At 39.4% G+C, this 19,478-nt stretch overlaps 2 protein-coding genes and 2 pseudogenes across 3 annotated transcripts in view; 3 read left to right on the forward strand and 1 right to left on the reverse strand.

The window, feature by feature from the left end:
• The window catches only part of LRRC37A2 (leucine rich repeat containing 37 member A2), a 676,337-nt gene that overhangs the window by 332,312 nt on the left and 324,547 nt on the right, over window positions 1-19,478 (forward strand). The gene's annotated exons all lie outside the window — the stretch shown is intronic.
• NSF (N-ethylmaleimide sensitive factor, vesicle fusing ATPase) overlaps window positions 1-19,478 on the forward strand; it is a 166,796-nt gene that overhangs the window by 114,435 nt on the left and 32,883 nt on the right. For both annotated transcript variants that reach the window (NR_040116.2, NM_006178.4), the window contains 2 exons: window positions 5,860-6,016; window positions 8,750-8,883. Coding sequence is in view for 1 of the 2 variants with exons in the window: in NM_006178.4 (NP_006169.2) it covers window positions 5,860-6,016; window positions 8,750-8,883 (291 nt within the window). In the remaining variant the exon portion in view is untranslated. The remainder of the gene's footprint in view (window positions 1-5,859; window positions 6,017-8,749; window positions 8,884-19,478) is intronic.
• On the forward strand, window positions 12,627-13,102 carry LOC107985026 (vesicle-associated membrane protein 5-like; annotated as a pseudogene).
• On the reverse strand, window positions 16,445-17,137 carry RPS7P11 (ribosomal protein S7 pseudogene 11; annotated as a pseudogene).

Consider the following 19,478-nt stretch of genomic DNA (forward strand, 5'->3'; position numbering starts at 1 on the left):
AATTTTGAGACTTTCCAGTTATTGTTTTACTTTATATTGAACTAGAACTAATTTTCTTATTGGTTCTTATACAATCCCAAGCTACAGAAACCTAACTTCAGTCCATCTTCCATATGTCAGTTATTAGGATATTTAAAATTAACTCTCATATCCTCCTCTGTCTCTCTCTCTCTCTCTCTTTCTCTTCCTTTCCTCAGCCTCTTCCAAGGCATCCCTTTTTCTTGCTCAGTACATTTAGTTTCTCTGACTACTATAGTTTCTAAGACTTAAAAAGTGTCAGTTTTCTTAAAACGCACTCAAAATGGTCATAGTTGGAGCTTTAGAATACAGTTTAAGGTTATTAACCCATTTTCCTATAAAACAACTACTAACATTTGAGTAACTTTTGTTTAGAGTCCTGTGTTAATACAAAAACAAATTGTAGAAAGTCCCAGTTCTTAAAGAAGTGTGTGCTTTTCTTTCTTAAATGGACCTCAGGTCCATTAAGATTAATCTTAATCTTTATGACACACTGTTATTAGTCTGTATTTTCATGGCATGTAAAATAACATATGGTATATGTAGTTTTCTGGGACTTGCTATTTATTAAATATTTTATTACCAAGAGTCATCTATATCAGGGATCCCCAACCCTCAGTACTGGTCCATGGCCCGTTAGGAACTGGGCCACACAGCAGGAGGTGAGCAGCAAGTGAGTGAGCCTCATCTGTATTTACAGCCACTCCCTATTGCTCGTGTTACCACCTGAGCTCCACCTCCTGTCAGATCTGTGGTGACATTAGATTCTCATATGAGTATGAACCCTATTGTGAACTGCATATCTGAGGGATCTAGATTGCACACTCCTTATGAGAATCTAATGCCTGATGATCTGTCACTGTCTCCCATCACCCCCAGATGGGACCATATAGTTGCAGGAAAACAAGCTCAGGGCTCCCACTGATGCTACATTATGGTGAGTTGTATAATTAGTTCATTATATATTACAATGTAATAATAATAGAAATAAAGTGCACAATAAATGTAATGTGCTTGGGCTGGGCATGGTGGCTCGTGTCTGTAATCCTAGCACTTTGGGAGGCTGAGGCGGGCGGATCACGAGGTCAGGAGTTCGAGACCAGCCTGACCAACATGGTGAAACCCCATCTCTACTAAAAATACAAAAATTAGCTGGATGTAGTGGTACGTGCCTGTAATCCCAGCTACTCACGAGGCTGAGGCAGGAGAATCGCTTGAACCCAGGAGGCAGAGGTTGCAGTGAGCCAAGATCGCACCACTGCACTCCAGCCTGGGTGACAGAACGAGACTCTGTCTCAAAAAAAAAAAAATGTAACGCACTTGAAACATCCCGAAACCACCTCCTCCCCCAATGGAAAAATTATCTTCTATAAAACTGGTCCCCGATGCCACAAAGGTTGGGGACTGCTGATGTATATGATTTCTTGTAGCTAGACATCATTCATTTTCATGCTGAATAGCATTCCATTGTGTGAGTACCACAATTTATCTATTTTCCTGTCAATTGTGAATGTTACCAGTATTTTGTTATTAAAAAAAGATTTGTCGTAAGAATTCTTGAATGAATTTCTCTTATTTAGGAATAAAATTATTAGGTTGTTGGATATATGAATGTCCCGCTTTAAAAAAACATTTCCCAGTGGTTGAACCAACACTGCCCCCAATACTGTGAAACATATCCTCTTGTTCTGTATCCTCTCCAACACTTGGTATTATCAGATTTATTTTTTATTTATTTATTTTTTTTGAGATGGAGTCTCACTCTGTCGCCCAGGTTGGAGTGCAGTGGTGTGATCTCAGCTCACTGCAACCTCCATCTCCCGGGTTCAAGCAATTATCCTGCCTCAGCCTCCCGAGTAGCTGGGATTACAGGTGCTTGCCACCATGCTTGGCCGATTTTTGTATTTTTAGTAGAGACGGGGTTTCACCATGTTGGCTAGGCTGGTCTCGAACTCCTGACCTCAGGTGATCTGCCTGCCTCGGCTTTCCAAAGTACTGGGATTACAGGCGTGAGCCACTGCACCCAGCCTCAGATTTAATTTTTGCCATTCAGTTAGGTGTAAAATGAGATCTCATTTCAGTCTTGATTTGCATTTTAGTTATTAGAGAACTTAAGCATTTCTCCATATGTTAATTGACCATATGCATGTATTGTGTGAAATAGTGTCCAAGTCTTTTGCCTGTTTTTCTGTTGTACTGCTTATTTGATTGATACAAGTTCTTTATATACTCTTTTTTTCTCAATTTTGTATTGTGTTAAAATACATATAAAGTTTACCATTGTAATCATTTTCAAATGTATAGTTCAGTGGTATTAAGTATATTCATAATGTTGTATAATCATCACCACCATCCATCTCTAAAACTCTTTTCTTCTTCTTGAACTGAAACTCTATACCCATTAAATAATAACTCTTTTTTCCCTCCCCTACAACACCTGGCAGCCACCATTCTACTGTCCATCTTTATGAATTTCAGTAATCTTAAGTACCCATGTAAGTGGAATCATAGTATTTGTCTTTTTGTAACTAGCTTATTTGACGTAGCATAATGTCCTCAAGGGTCAACCATCTTGCAGCATGTCAGAATTTTCTTCCTTTTTAAGGCTGGATAATACTCCATTATATGGGCCAGGCGTGGTGGCTCTTGCCTGTAATCCCAGCACTTTTGGAGATTGAGGTGGGTGGGTCACCTGAAGTCAGGAGTTCAAAACTAGCCTGGCCAACATAGTGAAACCCCATCTCTACTAAAAAATACAAAAATTAGCCAGGAGTGGTGGCACACACCTGTAATCCCAGCTACTCGGGAGGCTGAGACATGAGAATCATTTGGATCCGGGAGGTGGAGGTTGCAGTGAGCCGAGATTGTGCCACTGCACGCCAGCCTGGTGACAGAGCAAGACCCTGTCTCAAAAAAAAAAAAAAAAAAAATCCATGATATGTACATACCACATGTTGTTATCCATTCCTCTGTCAATGGCAGCCAGGCTTCTGCCACGTTTTGGCTATTTTGAGTAATGCTGTCATTAGCATGGCTGTACAGATATCTCTTCAAGACCCTGTTTTTAGTTCTTTCGGGTATATACTCAGAAGTGGAATTGCTGGATCATATAGTAATTCTATTTTTAATTTTTTGAGGGACCACCATACCGTTTTCCACGGTGGCTGCACCATTTTACATTCCCACCAGTGGTGCACAAAAATTCTGACTTCTCCACATGCTCACCAACAAATTATTTTCTGTTTTTTTGGTAGTAGCCATCCTAATGAATATGAAGTGACATCTCATTCTAGTTTTGATTTGTATTTTCGTAATGATTAGTGGTGATAAGTATCTTTTCATATGCTTATCAACCATTTGTTACATATCCTTTTTTTTTTTTTTTTTTTTGAGACAGTCTTGCTCTGTCACCCAGGCTGGAGTGCAGTGGCACAATCTCGGCTCACTGCAACCTCTGCCTCCCAGGTTTAAGTGATTCTCCTGCCTCAGCCTCCCCAGTAGCTGGGATTGTAGGCACCCATCACCATGCCCGGCTAATTTTTTTGTATTTTTAGTGGAGACAGGGTTTCACCATGTTGGCCAGGCTGGTTTCAAACTCCTGACCTCAAGCGATCCACCTACCTCAGCCTCCCAGTGTGCTAGGATTATGGGCATGAGCCACTGCACTTGGCCACCATTTATTTTATATATATATATATATATTTTTTTTTTTTTTTTTTTTTGAGACTGAGTCTTGCTCTGTTGCCAGGCTGGAGTGCAGTGGCGCAATTTTGGCTTACTGCAACCTCCGCCTCCTGGGTTCAAGTGATTCTCCTGCCTCAGCTTCCTGAGTAGCTAGGACTGCAGGCTTGCGCCACCATGCCCGACTAATTTTTGTATTTTTAGTAGAGACGAGGTTTCACTTTGTTGGCCAGGATGGTCTCAATCTCCTGACCTCGTGATCCACCCACCTTGGCCTCCCAAAGTGCTGGGATTACAGGCATGAGCCACTGCACCTGGCCTGTTATATATTCTTAACAATAATTATTTGTTCCAAGTATCTCCTTTAAAGACAAAAGCCAATTTGGTTAGCCCTGTCTTTTTATTACTATTGTGACTTTTAAATATAAAATAATCATTTTCAAAAGTAACTCCAAGATTTTTTTAACAACAAGTAATTTGGCCATGAGGAAGTGACAACTAAAAACTTAATTTTATTTATTCCAAGGGTCTGGAGGATAAAAAAAAAATGAAATTATGGGATATGTAAGGAAGATATACACGTTATATATCTTGGGAGAGTCACTGTTTTATGGTTCAGGCATCTTAAAGCTTCTGCTGTGAGGCTTGGAGTATATAACTGGAAAAATTAAAGACAAAAGCCAGCCTATAATTTTTTTTTTTTTTTAAATGAGATGGAGTCTTGCTGTGTCTCCCAGGCTGGAGTGCAGTGGCGTGATCTCGGCTCACTGCAACCTCCGCCTCCCGGGTTCAAGCAATTCTCCTACCTCAGCCTCCCAAGTAGCTGGGATTACAGGCACACACCACCACACCCAGCTAATTTTTGTATTTTTAGTATAGATGGGGTTTCACCACGTTGGCCAGGTTGGTCTGGAACTCCATACCTCAGGTGATCCACCCGCCTCAGCCTCCCAAAGTGCTGGGATTATAGGCTTGAGTCACTGCGCCCGGCCATGAAAATTTCTTAGAACAGCCATTTAGCCAGTTTGGATTAGTTTCATCATTACTTTTTACACTGCTACTGAATTTGCCATATCTAGGCCAAAGAATGAGAACCTTCCTCTGTATTCAGGAATCAAAGGACCAGTATATGCAAAGAGACTACGTAAAAAGTGGTCTGAAAAATTATTTTGTGGCAAAGTAATAGAGATATGAGATCACTGGATACTGTTTCAAAGACAGTATTACAAAAACAGCTTTATGTGAGGTGCATGTTCTAAAGAACTATTAAAACTATTCCATACATCAGGTAATCAAAAGTTGAATTTTGAGGGATGTGATGATCTTTAAAAAATTGAAATTCTCAAGATACATGATCTTTACATGTACATGATCTTTACATGTAGTAGGTTATGTTTTCCTATTTATTCTGTTAACCTCATGAAAATCCAGTTCAATTGTAAATACTAAAGTTATTGACTACTTTTGGCAGCTGTTTTGATGGGAGGTATAACCTTTGAGATTAAAAGTTGACAATGAAGAAGGGTGCAATTTAAGCTCCAATATGTAGTGAACACAAATAGAATTATTATCTGAAATAATTGCTTTTATATCCTTCTTATTACAGCTCCTCATTTCTATCTCATCCTAAATCTTATATTTACACATATAAACTTAACATTGGTGCCATTTAACTATGTCCCCTACCACAAAGTTGATGTGAACATGATCTTCTCATTACCATTTCGTATTCTCATGTTAATCCATAGCACCTGCAGTCAGTGTTAAGGTAGCATATTTGTCTATTGCGCTGTTTCTAAGTCCATAATCTCTTTTTTCCTTTGTTCTTAACAGAACAGCCTCAAACTGCATACTGTTGATAAAAATAAGCACATTGGAACATATTCTTTCTCTCAGGAATTATGAGGGTTTGAGTCTGGTGGAATCTCAGCCTAGAATCCATTGTTTTTATTCCATTAAGTCACCCAAAGCAGCTTTTTTTTTCCTATTGGGAAAAAAGTTAAATGAGAAATTATACAAGTTGTTTTGCTTTCCAGGCTTTTTATATTAATATGGGATAGTGATCAATACCTTTAGCATGTACGGATTATAACTCGTCTTTTATACTGTTAGTTTTTAACACTAAGGCTCAAAATGCTTTAGACTCCTTTTTCTTAATAGGCCTTTGGCACAAACCAAGAAGATTATGCAAGTTACATTATGAACGGTATCATCAAATGGGGTGACCCAGTTACTCGAGTTCTAGATGATGGGGAGCTGCTGGTGCAGCAGACTAAGAACAGTGACCGCACACCATTGGTCAGCGTGCTTCTGGAAGGTGAGAATGAATGAGGAGATGGCATTAAAAGTTAAAGGAAAAAAAGCAGCATTTTTTAAAAGCCCGTAAGCACATTCTAGAAAAGTGAATTCTTTTTCGTTTTTAACCTTGTTCTTGATCTGAAAATAGTAATCCAATCTATGTACCAATATTGTGTACAAATTAAAATTTTCTTGGGGTAGAATGTTAGTGAGGAAAGATAGCAACTAGTTTTCTTGTAGGATTATATCTGTATTTCTGTGGCACTTAATACACTGAATGATGCCACTTAGCCTCAATTCAATTAAATAAATACTTACTGAGTACTTGTATTTTAGTCATTGAACTAGTTGCTGGGGATACAAAGACATTCAAGTGTTCATTCAGTCTGGTCATGAACAAAGACAGTGTAAAGAAATTCCTGACTACGGTGTATGTGTGTAAAGGTGTGTGTGAATACAAGTCATTTAGCATAGGGGTGGTCAGGGAAAACTAGAGATGCTATTTAATCTAGGCCTTGAAAGACCAGTTAGGATTTTATTGAGTAGACAGACAAAAGGGGAAGGACATTCCATTCACAAATAATTAATTTACAGTTATAATTAGTATGACGGCAGAAAAGTTCAGTGAGGCCCCATGACAAGGGAACCTAACTACCTCTAAAGGTCTGGGGGATGAGAGCTCCCTGGGAGAAACATATTAAGCCATGACTTGACCAATGAGGAGACTCTGGCCAGCCAAAGTCACTGGGGAGGATGTTTGAGGCAGAGCATGTGAAAAAGTCCTGGGCAGGAAGGAGCTTGAAAGAGAAAGGGAGATTATCCTGACATGAGACTGTAGAAGCAGATAGAAGCCAGTTCATATAAAACCCTGTAGGCCATATTAAAGATTTAAACTATCTTAGGGGCAATGGGAAGCCATTTGTAGGATTTTAAGCAGTGAAGCCACATCATCATCACTGCTTTATGATGGAGAATGGATTGGAGGGGCAAAAAGATACAGAAGAGACTAATGGTTAGAAGCAGTTGGATTAGTCTTAATGAGAGTCGATTGTGGTTTGAAGTATGTGGAGTAGTGTAGATGGAGATAAGTAGACTAATTAGAAATATTTAGAAGATAGAATAAAAATGACCTCATTATTATTGTCAATCATAATTATGCTAGCAGTTTTTGAGCCCTTGCTATTTGCCAGTCACTCTACTAGCACTGTGCACATATTATCTATTTAAACCCCACTTCAGTCCTCCAAGGGTAGATGCTGCTGTTGTCTCTATTTTGTAGGTGGGGAAGCTGAAGCCTAGAAATATTTGTTAGATTGGATGTGGGCAGAGGTATCAAACATGACCCCCTGGGTTCTGGCATACATAGCCCGATAAATGGTGCTGTTTACTAAGATTGGGAACACTAATGGAAAGCAGATTTCTGGAAGAAAGATGATGAGTTCAGTTTTGAACATGTTAAATTCAAGGGTCATATAGGAGAAGTAAATCGGAAATGTTGAGCAGCCTGTTGGATATGTGGGTCTGGCTAGCAGTAGACTCATGAGTTGCCAGTATATAGACTGTGGTTGAAGCCATGGGAGTGAACGAAATCACTTACAGTGAGGGTGTGGGTTGAGACGAAAAGGAGGCCTAGAACTTGTCTCTGAAGCATGTTAACACGTAAGGACTAAACAGAGCAGAAAAATTGACAAAAGAGACTGAGCAAGAGTAACCAGAGAGGAAAGGGGAAAGAGAGAATGTGTGTTACAGAAGCCAAGAAAAGAAACATATTTTAAGAAAGAGGGGAATTATGAATTGTATCAAATGCTCCTAAGAGGCTGAAAAAGATACCAAAATGTTTGTTGGGTTTGATGACATGGAGATCATTTGTGACCTTGATGGGAGCCTGTTCAGTGTAATGGGGATGGGAGCCGTAAGATTTAGTGAGGATGGGTGGGAGGTGAAGAACAAAAGCAGCCAGTGTAAATAATTACATAGGCAAGTTCCATTTTGAAGGGAGAAGAAGGTGCAGTTTTGAGGGGTATGATGTTCAGAAAGAGTTTTTTGTTGTTATGTATTAAACTGTCAGATAGACTAGAACATGCTAAAACACTTTTGGAAAGGCTTCAGGGAAGAGGAAGAAGTCGAACATATGGGAGAAAGGAACAATCAGTAATGTCATGTTCCTGAGAAGATGGAAAGGAAGATTTGATTGGTTTATGGTTGAACGAGGGACACAGCTTCCAAAACAGGGAAGGGAAGGCAGGGATGTCTAAATGTAGGTAAGTTCGTAGATTTGCTTGCCTTTATGAGAAGGCCTGAGTCTTTAGAATTCTAACTTTTTACATCACATTTGCTTCTAATAAGGCAGTTTTCCCCTGCCCCCAATATCAGCTCTTAAGATTGTCTTTTTTTGTTAGACAAATGATTTGATAGAACTAACAACATAAGTACTAATATGCATTTGAATGCGTTCTTTTAAGAAGCAAAACCCTTACACTCTGTATATTTTGCCAAAAGTTTGAAAGATTAAGGATATGTGAGAATGTCAGGAGGCATGTATTTCACCATACTTTTGAGAAATGCTAATTAGTTCATTAAGTTTAGTTGCTAATAAATAAGAGAAAACATGTCTGCTGTGAAATTGTGTCAGGAAATGTTAATGAGCAACTAGTCGAGACCTCAGTATGTTCTGGATAAAAGTTTAAACTTGTTTTATTTCCCTTTGCTTAGGTTGGCTTTTTTCCCCTGACTTGCTCATATCTTTATGCAGGCCCTCCTCACAGTGGGAAGACTGCTTTAGCTGCAAAAATTGCAGAGGAATCCAACTTCCCGTTCATCAAGATCTGTTCTCCTGATAAAATGATTGGCTTTTCTGAAACAGCCAAATGTCAGGCCATGAAGAAGGTATCAAGATTTTACTTTCATTTTAATTTCCTATCTCTTAAATGTGTGTGTGTGTGCACATATATATGCCTTTGTACATGTATACATATAAACCCATAGCAACTATGTTCTTCTCAAGTGGAACCAAATTATCAGCAGAATATGGGGGAAGCAGTGACTGTTTTAGATTTTCTAACTTTGTAATGTATTTTATTGAGTACCTTTACCTTCTAAATTATGCTTTGTTTAATACATATTAAGTTTCATTGCCTAGTTTTGTATCAATTTGATTAAAAGAGTTATAGTTGAAAGTGTTTGAATAAAGTGGACAAATTCATTTAGGATTTTTTAAAGTTCTTTCATTATTGTACAAAGTTGAACTCTTTGGGGTCAATTAAGTTGAGGAAGACAGAGATGTATCAATGGGAAAATAGTCCCAGGAATCCCTACAAAAGGATAGTTTTATATTAGGTAATAATCAGAATCTGCTTGGTAACTTAATGCAGTTCTCATACATCTTCCTTTCTCCAAGTGCCACTCGTCACCTTCTTAATTAACATGGCCACTTTCTACCATCAGTGAAGTTAGAACAGCATAGAATAGAATCCTAGAGCTGAAAAGACTGTAAGACCATTTGGTCCATCTCTCTTACATTCAAGCAAGTGCCATGCAACAACAACAACAAAAATCAATGATGAAGACTTTAAATGGCTGTTCCATCTTACTTGTTAGATCATGTTTCCATTGCTATTCTAATTTTGCATACTGCCAGTCAAGAAATTATTTTTTGTATCCAGCTGAAGTATTTCTTTTATTTAAATTCTTTTTTTCATGCTTGATCTTTTATAGATATGAACTGACCGTAAGTCCAAGAGATGTGGGAAAATCAGAATGAGGTGAAAGAATCTTGAGAATTGAAGTGCTCCCTAGTAAAGACAGCTCAGGGTTTTCTTTTACATTGCTCTTAGGCATTCGCTTTATAAAGATGTATTGTAGAATTCTTCGGTGTTTCTTTGGGAAAGAGACTGAAGAAGAGAAATAGATTTAAAAGATGACTCCCAAAAAATGTAAGCTTGAGAAGCTAGTCTCTTGTTTGTGCAGGTGGCAGAAAATTGCACAGGGTACTTCAGATGGATGGAGGAAGCCGAACTTGTAGCAGGATTCCAGGCATACACATTGAAGAGTCCAGAGAAATACATAAAAATGTTTGAAATTGAGTGTGAAAAGGAAATATTGCCAGATGCAAAAAGAACTTATAATATCATAGTTTATTCTGTCTCTGAGGTGAAACCAATAGTATCTGTCCTTCCCAGGAAAATCTGAATAGAATAACTGGGACCAGTGATTTCCCTAGAGTAGGTAGGGCTGTTTTTCTTTGTTTTTCGTTTTCCCTCTGATGGGAACCCTTAACCCACTTCTTCTGGTAAAAATTTAAATAACAGCCCTTGAAATCTGTAGCTGTTGAATGTCCCATTTATTTATTGAATAGCTAATTCTATTTGCATTCTCCTAAATCATCTATTCCTGTGCTTTTTCAAAAGTAGTAGTCATCTTTGCAGATGGTAAATTACTCCATTGCTTTCCACCAGCTGCCAGCTTCTACCTCAGATGTACTCTGAGATGTGGGTGGATGGTCCTAGTTTTTCTATAAAGTTTTTAAAAAGTACTTCAGGCTTCTGCAGATCAAAGCTACTTTGTAAGTGTGAGATATTATCATTTTTATTATTTTAATCTCTTGCAAATTGACTTGAAGGGGGAAGGTAATATGTGCTGATTTTAGAGGCTTAAATGGTTAAATTAATGGTTTAATAACTTATTATTTAATCTTCAAATTGTTGAAGCCTTTCAAGGTAGAGTTTCAGATGAGTAGAAAGCTAGGGAGTATAAAAATAAGTGTCCATACAAGCTTATTCAAAATTGTTTTAATTCATGATTCACTGTCCGGATCATCCGTGCACTCTTAAAATTATAAAAATTATTTCTGCTTCAGCAGTATAACAAATTTATATTAGAATTTTTGGTTTTCCTTGGGGGAAAAATATTATTCTTTGTCATTAAAGTTCAGAAAAGAGAAAGGAATGAAGCATAGGTTTCTTAGAAATATATTAGAAATATTACAAAATATTTCCCTGCAAATAGTTTTCACATTGTTACCTAATGATAGGTTGACAAAAGCCTGAGGGGTCAAACCAGTCTAAAGATGCTAAGTCTTCCAGGTTGTTTTTGAAAATGAAATGTAAATGTCATTCTTTAGTATAAGTTCTAGTCTACCTCCCACTACTGTTCTTGCCCCTCCTTTTTTTTTTTTTGAGATGGAGTCTTGCTCTGTCGCCCAGGCTGGAGTACAGTGGCGTGATCTCAGCTCACTGCAAGCTCCACCTCCCGGGTTCATGCCATTCTCCTGCCTCAGCCTCCCAAGTAGCTGGGACTACAGGCACCCGCCACCATGCCTGGCTAATTTTTTTGTATTTTTAGTAGAGATGGGGTTTCACCGTGTTAGCCAGGATGGTCTTGATCTCCTGACCTCATGATCCGCACGCCTCAGCCTCCCGAAGTGCTGGAATTACAGGCATGAGCCACCGCGCCCGGCCTGCACCTCCATTTTTAGTGTGAGGATGGAAAGAAGATGTTTTAATTTTTTTTCAGAGCACAAATAATTTATAGAGTTTTATAATTCTGGAGAAAACCTTTCTTTTGTTGTTGTAAGTGCAAAAATTAAGGTAGCTTTTTCTAATTACAGAAATAATTTAGAAAATACAAGAAAGAACAGAAGAAAATAACAATAAATTCATATTTGTCCTTCAATTCTCTTTTCTACTCAGACACATGTGTACACATGAACACATATACCCCCTCCCTTATATATTGGGGATTACATTGAAACATACTGATGTAAACTTGCTTTTTTCACTTAAAATATTATGAACTTTTTTCAGTGTAACTAAAGCTAATCTGAACATTATTTTAAATTAATAGCTGTCTAATATCTGAACAATCCCTTTTTGTTGGACAATTAGGTTGTTTCCAGGTTTTTTTCACAATTATAAATAATATATATCAAAGAGTTATCTATACTCCCAAGTTCATTGCAGCAGTATTCACAGTAGTGGAATGGAATCAACCTGAATGTCCCTCAGTGGATGAATGGATAAAGAAAATGTGACACATATACACTGTGGACTGTAACACAGCCATTTAAAAAGAATGAAATCCTTGTCATTTGCAACAACATGGATGAAGGACCTGGAAGACCTCATGTTAAGTGAAAGAAGCCAGGCACAGAAAGTCAAATATCACATGTCCTCATTCATATATGGGAACTAAACAATTGAACTCAGGGAGGTAGAGTTAGAATGATGGTTATCAGAGGCTGGGAAGGGTAGTGGTAACAAAAATACCATTAAATAGAAGTAATAAGATCTAGTGTTGGACAGCACAATAAATTAACTATACTTAAAAATCATGGGCCAGGCACAGTGGTTCACGCCTGTAATCCCAGCACTTTGGGAGGCTGAGGTGGGGGGATCATGAGGTCAGGAGTTCGAGACCAGCCTGACTAACATGGTGAAACCCCGTCTCTACTAAAAATACAAAAATTAGCCAGGCATGATGGCATGTGCCCTGTAATGCCAGCTACTCAGGAGGCTGAGGCAGGAGAATCGCTTGAACCCGGGAGGCAGAGGTTGCAGTGAGCTGAGAGCACACCACTGCACTCCAGCCTGGGCGACAGAGCAAGACTCCATCTAAAAAATAAAATAAAATAATGTGTCGTTCGGGGAGTGGGCCTGGTGGCAGTGGCGGTGGCAGGGAAAGAGTTGGAGCAGTGCCAGCGGCAAGCGAACAAGGTGACGGAAATCACGCTTAACAACTTTGACAAGGTCCTGGAGCATGATGGAAAGCTGACCGAACTGGAGCAGCGTTCAGACCAACTCCTGGATATGAGCTCAGCCTTCAGCAAGACAACAAAGACCCTGGCCCAGAAGAAGTGCTGGGAGAACATCCATTGCCAGATCTACTTGGGGCTAGTGGTGGGTGGTAGCCTGCTCATCATCCTGATTGAGCAGCTGGCCATCTTTCTCCCTCAGAGTGACACCAGTAATGCCCCACAGACCTAGGATGCAGGCACCACCTCAGGGCCTGGGGACTGACAGCTGGTCCTGAGGGAGAAGCCAAATGGCTGCACTGGCTGGTTCCGGTCTCCAGAGAACCTTGGTGTTTGCTCTCCCCTGACCCACCCCAGTGAGTGCCAAAGGGCAGCCCCAACACGTGCACCCCTGCATTTCTTGTCATGCCACAGACTGGCCCTCGAGGGCACCCTGCCATACTGGCCATGCCGGGCCAGCCCCACCTGAAGCTCAGTGAAAGCTGATTAAAAAAAAAAAATTATGTATAGATCAAAATAACTACAAGAGTGGAAATTGAATATTCCTAACAAAAAGAAATGATACATGCTTAATGAGTTTCACAACTACCCTTATTTGATCGTTACATGTTTTATACTTGTATCAAAATGGTGCATGTACTCCATAAATATGTATAACTATTATGTAGCCATAACTAAAAATTTAAAATTTATATAAAAACAGTATTCCATAGGACTACCAAACTAGGGAAATTACTGCCCCCATTTTCTCATTAGATTTTTCTTCACTAGAGTAGTATAACATGACCGAGAATTTGGGCTTGCTCAGCTCTCCACACTGACCGGCCGAATGACCTTGGATATGTCATTTAACCTATAAGCCACTGTTTTCTCATCTGTCAAATGAAGATAATATTAATAGCTGCATTATAGGGTTATGAGAATTAGATGGTAATTTCTGTAAAGTGTCACAGTGCCTGGGATATAATATGAAATCAATGAAGTGTAGTGGTTATTTTTACTTATTATTATACATACATTTTTTATTATTTCCTTATGACAAATTCTCAGAAGTGGGATTGCTAAGGTAAAAATATTAGTATTGTAAAGATTTTTGATACATAGTGCTATCAAAACTCTTAGGTAAAAAATGCTCTTGGTTTTATAAAGCCTACGCCTTCAGAATGTTGTACTAATTTACACTTGTAGCTTCACCATATAAGAGTATGAGTTTCTTGGGATTCTCACCCGTACTTGATATTATTAAAATATTTTTTGCCAGTTGGATAAGCAGAAGGTTGGCATTTAGTTATTTCTTTAGCTACATTTCAATGACTAAATGCTCAAATTTAAGATTTTTCAAAATGTTTTGCAATGACAATAGTCTGTGAAACTGAAAAATATGTAACACATTAATTTTTGTTAAAGATGTGTGGTCTGAATTAGTTAATTCATAGAGCATCTTTACCTACCACTTTATTACTTAAACCAACAGGTAAGAGTTTTAGTAGAGAGGGCTGTTAGGCTTGCTTTAATGAGTACATGAGATTTTATTATAATTATACTATTGCCTCTTTTTCACAAATGGATGGTGCTAAAATACGTGAAAGTAGTTTATTCTCAATTAATTTAAAATTCACCTTGTACTTCTCTTAATTTGCTTATTAGTGAATCCTTTCTCCATGGATAAACTCCTCAAAACTGCTGAAGTATGTATGAGGTATTGTCCTCACGTTCTGGGGGGTATACCATATGTTCCATTAAGATGTTTGAAGTATTCACAGACCTTCCCCTTCTCCCCTATTTTACGTTTGCTTCCCAAACTTCATTCTATTTTTAAATTTTAATTCCTTTATCCATTTTTGCATCAATACTTGTTTAAAAATCTATTTTACTAGTTCTATTCGTGCCATTAAATGAACAAAAGAAGAAAGCAGAATTTGATTTTAACTAATTACCTAATCTTGATGCTTTCTGAGTATACAATCAGTAGAGATGAAGTAGAACAATCAGATAGAACTAAATTGTTTGAACAAAATTAAGTAAAACTACCAGTGATTTATAAAACTGTACCCATTAATAACATGATATAGTCTTATTTTCAAAGGATTGAAAATTAATGGAAGAAATTTTCCTTTCCACTAGCTTTGCACGAAAGAAATAATCTTCTTTGAATATCCTCCTGTAAATCCCACTGCAAATTGTAGTCTGCACAGAACAGAATCGTGATGCCTAATCCTCCTCTTTTCATGGTTTAGTCTATACAAAGAGCAGAGCTGGAAATTGGATCTTTTGACAGCAGTTACTAAGCAACAGAATTTGGATGTTTTTGGTTAACATCCTAATATATAATGTAGCTGATTTGTTGAAGTTTTTGCATATATTAGCTGAGAGAAGTGGGCACTCCGGAAGTGACTACAGGTCCCTGTATGGCTGGGGAGGTGGGCATTTGTTGTTGTTTTGTTCAATACACTGTGTCTTTTGGCATTTGTATCTCTTTGGCGTAGAAAGGAGGCTGGTGCAGAACTTTCAGACCTTGTGACTTTTTATATTATTAAGAATACCCTTCTCTGTGGCTCACGATATGAGAAAATGTAAGATTTTTTCCTGAAAAGCAGGGAGAACAAATAAAGGATTTTAAGGTCATTCCAGGAAGCTTTAGAGCTTTGCCAAAAGTTTAGGTCCACTTCCTGAGGCAGTTTCATTAGCAGACAGCTAATGTTTGCTTGGTCTACTCCCAAGTTATTTTTAGAAACGAGATTATTACTGATAGCACCCATTTGAATTTGCTCATTTACGTTTTTATATGCTACCAAATATGATTAGAGTATGCTTTTAACTAATCGCTGACAGATTTACTGCATTAGGGATTTTCTAAGCTATGAGATTCCTACAGTCATCAGATTTCTACTAACTAGGTACTTCACGCCAAGTACTTCAGAACTGAGATGAACTCTTTCAGCTCCCAGAAGAACCAGAGTGTTTGGCTTTGCTTACCTAAGGGCACTAAGGAGGTCCCAGAGGATGGAGGGCTGAATCTCCTGAGAGCATGCTTGTTGTGGCTTGTGATCCCGAAAGGCTGGGATTAATGGAACTAATGCTGGTGTGCTCCCATTTGCACTTGTGTAGACTCTGGAGCCCGTAGCTGCTGCCCCTGTCCCACACACAGGTGGCTCCCCAGTTGTCTGAAGATCCCAGGAGTGGGCTCTGGGACTTAAGAGCTTGCCGTGTCCTTGAGCACCACATTCAGACCTGCCCCTAATCCCTGCGTGGCAGAGCCCCGCTTCTCCTGTCCCTCAGTGCTCACGGAGTGCATGTGGCACACTCTTGCCTTAAGCCCAGGCTCCCCACACTCTGGGTTGTCTCTCATACCCCTCCAGCCTGTGTCGTACCTCCACCTTTGCATGCAAGAGAGGTTACAGTTTAATATGACAATCTCATTATGTGCACAGGTGGACATAACGGGCTTCTGTGTTTTCTAGAGCTGCTCTTCCTTCCTTTAGAGTAGACTTCCCGTTATTTCATGAGACACAGGCTGACTGATGCCACTCTTTCCCACATTGTTTCCTTCTTCAGTTCTTCCTGTTTTTTCTTTAGCCTTCTCTTTCAGACTTCCCTCCTAACTTTAAGACCCTATATATGTATGTTGATAATTTTACCTGTTCTACAGGAAACTTCATAATAGAACTGGGCTGACTATACATTCTTTTTCTGTGTGTGTGTGAATATATACTTTTTATTTAGCCATTTTTGTTTACAATTGAAACTCTGGGAATTCAAAATTAACATCCTTGCCCGTGAGCTTCTTATAGACACCAGAAAAAGTTTCAACCTTGTGTTCCACATTGTTCTGCTGTGCTTTGTCCAAATGAACCTTTATGAGCCGGCTGCTATCTAGTTTGACGGGGATTCTCTTGCCCACAATTTCGCTTGGGAAGACCAAGTCCTCAAGGAAGGCATCGTGCACAGCTGTCAGAGTACGGCTCCTGGGACACTTTTGCTTATTTTTTGTACGGCTTTTTCGAGTTGGCTTAGGCAGAATTCTCCTCTGAGCGATAAAGACGACATGCTTCCCACTGAACTTTTTCTCCAATTCGCGTACTAGCCGGACTTGGATTTTCTGGAAAGATTTCAGTTGAGGAACGGGAACAAAGATTATGATAGCTTTCCGACCACCACCAACTTCAGTTTCCTTGGCTGCCGTAATATTCAGCTCCCTGAGCTGAGCCTTGAGGTCCGAGTTCATCTCCAGCTCCAGAAGAGCCTGGGAGATGGCCGGACTCGAACTCGTCCGGCTTCTCGCCATTGGGCTTCACGATCTTGGCGCTCGAACTGAACATGGCTTTCTCCTGGGAGAACTTGCAGCGCCTGCTTAGGAAGAGACCCAAATCTCGCGAGAGCACGTCAAAATCCCTACATTCTTAAGATTAATTTTGGGGGGAGTCTGTAAGATACGGTTCTTACCTTCTTACCTCCAGCCTCAGTCCTCCTGGCATCTTCTGTGTTGGGGCATCTTTGGATCTAGAGCAAGCACTGTGTGACCTGCTGTGTGCTATAACTCACGGTGAGTTTGGCACTTCAGTTGTACTAGTCTGGCTAGGGCAGTTTGTACAATTTTACTTTTCTCGCATCTTTCTTTCCAGTACCTCTCCTCCTGCTGGGATTTATCTACCTAAAGTTGTGGTGCAGCTTCCCGGCTTAGTATGTAAATATCTCACTTGGATTTTCCTGTGGCAGCTAACCTCACGTACTTGCCAGCCAACTCTGAGTATCTTCTTAGTGAGAATTCTGCTGGGGCCTGGGCCAGAAAGGGTGAAAGGGACTAAGGGACTGAGGAGACTAGGCAGAAATCGTGGATCCTGGGAAGAGTTATGAGCACAGGTTACACTAGTGACTAGATAAGGAAGAAAATGTACGTGTGAGAAGAAAAAGGGATGTGTGTGTATGTATGTATTTAAATTAGAGCAGAGTAGCTACCCGGAGGAGTTTCAGTTGACTGGTTACCTGAAACTAGTCAAGTTACAACTGGAATTGCACAGCCTTCGTCATGGTCGGTGTGTTAATAGAGCTTGCTGTGAGTGCACCTCTCCCTCTGATAGTAATTAGCACAGAGACCGACTGCAAAAAACAAGAACGTCACTACTTGATATTAAGTGACTGCTGCAGGTATTTTTCCTCTCAAATGTTATGTGTAGGCCATGCAGTCAACTGTGAAGTGATTTGGAATGCTTTGTGAATTACAGTGTCTGAGATAAGTTGGTGAGACTACATACCATGTAGCAAGTCATCATTAGTTTAGACCTAAGCAATGTCCTGAGTAAGGTCCTTGCAGCCATATAAGCTGTACATTGTTTTGAGAAGGAAAAACATAGAACTACTGCAACCAGCCAGGCTGTGGTGTTCCAGGTCCCTGTGGCTCTAATCCATGATCTCACAGCCTGATGGTCAGAGTTATATGCTGGCATCAGAGCTTTTAGTAGAATTCTGAAAAATGTTTTGAAAAGCAAAGCATTATTTTCAGTGATTCCTTAAAATTACCTGAGTTTATAAGATACCACATTGGCTGCGGTTCCATCTTCAAAAAAAGTAGCAAAGAACCGCTGTAGAACTGCTTCTGAGCTTTTCAGTTGTCTCGAATGTACCAACTCAAAGCCAAAAGGAACCATCATTGTGTATCAAGAGACTGAAATAAATATCCTATTCTCATTTTCTCTTTTTCTGTGTTTGGGGAGGAGAAGATAAAAGGCCCTTCCCTTCTTGCTCTTTAAATGTACTCATGATCCATTTTCAAACCAGCTTCACCTCTGTGTTTTATTTCAGTTGCCAAATCAGGACAGATCCTTGACTCCAGTTTTCTCTTTCATCACCACACCCATTCATTCACCAAGTTCTTTCAGTTCCTCCTCCTAAACATCTCTAGATTCTGTCCACTTACCAGCACACCCACTCCCTGGCCACCATCATTTCTCACCTAGAACTCCACAATCTCAATTAACTATTATTCCCCTCTAATGCTTTTCTATACAATCAGGAAAATGTTTCTAAAACATAAGCCTGACATGTCAGTCCATTGCTTATAACCCTTTAGTGGCTTGTTATTGCCTTTACAGTAAAATTTTAACTCATGAAATTTGTAAGACTCTTTACGTCCAAGTTCCTTCATCACCTCTTCTAATTCATCTCACCTACCACTCCACTGCATTGACACCAACACCACTTTATTTTAATTCTTATTGACCGTTCCTGCAGTGTTCCTGAATGTTCACATCTCTGTGTCTCCTAATTTTCAGTATATTCTGCTTAGAACACTTTCTTCCACCCTTTCCACTGGTTAACTGTTGTTCATGCTTCAAGTCTCAGGTTAAGTGTCACTTCCTAAATTTAGGAAACTGTCCTGACTCCCTAAGTCCATTTAAGAGTCAAGATAGGCTGAGTTATGCTGCATGAAAGGACAACCCGAAAATCTCAGTGGCTTAACACAACAAAGTTTATTTTTTATTTACACTACTATATCTCCGTCATGGCTCAGACAGTGAGTTCTGTTCATTATATTTTCTCAGAGACTCAAGCTAATAGATAATAGAGGCCCCGCCTTACATCTGATTCCATGATAGCCAAGGCAGGGAAAGGAGTATGGTGAATCATGCAGTGACTCCTAAGGCTTCTTTCAGAAAGGGGTGTATTTCCCCTCATATTTCATTAACCAAAGCAAGCCCCATAGTTATGCCTAACTTCCAAGGCACTGGGGAAATAC

This window comes from Homo sapiens, chromosome 17 (assembly GCF_000001405.40).
Source record: "Homo sapiens chromosome 17, GRCh38.p14 Primary Assembly".
NCBI classification, from domain to species: Eukaryota; Metazoa; Chordata; class Mammalia; order Primates; family Hominidae; genus Homo; species Homo sapiens.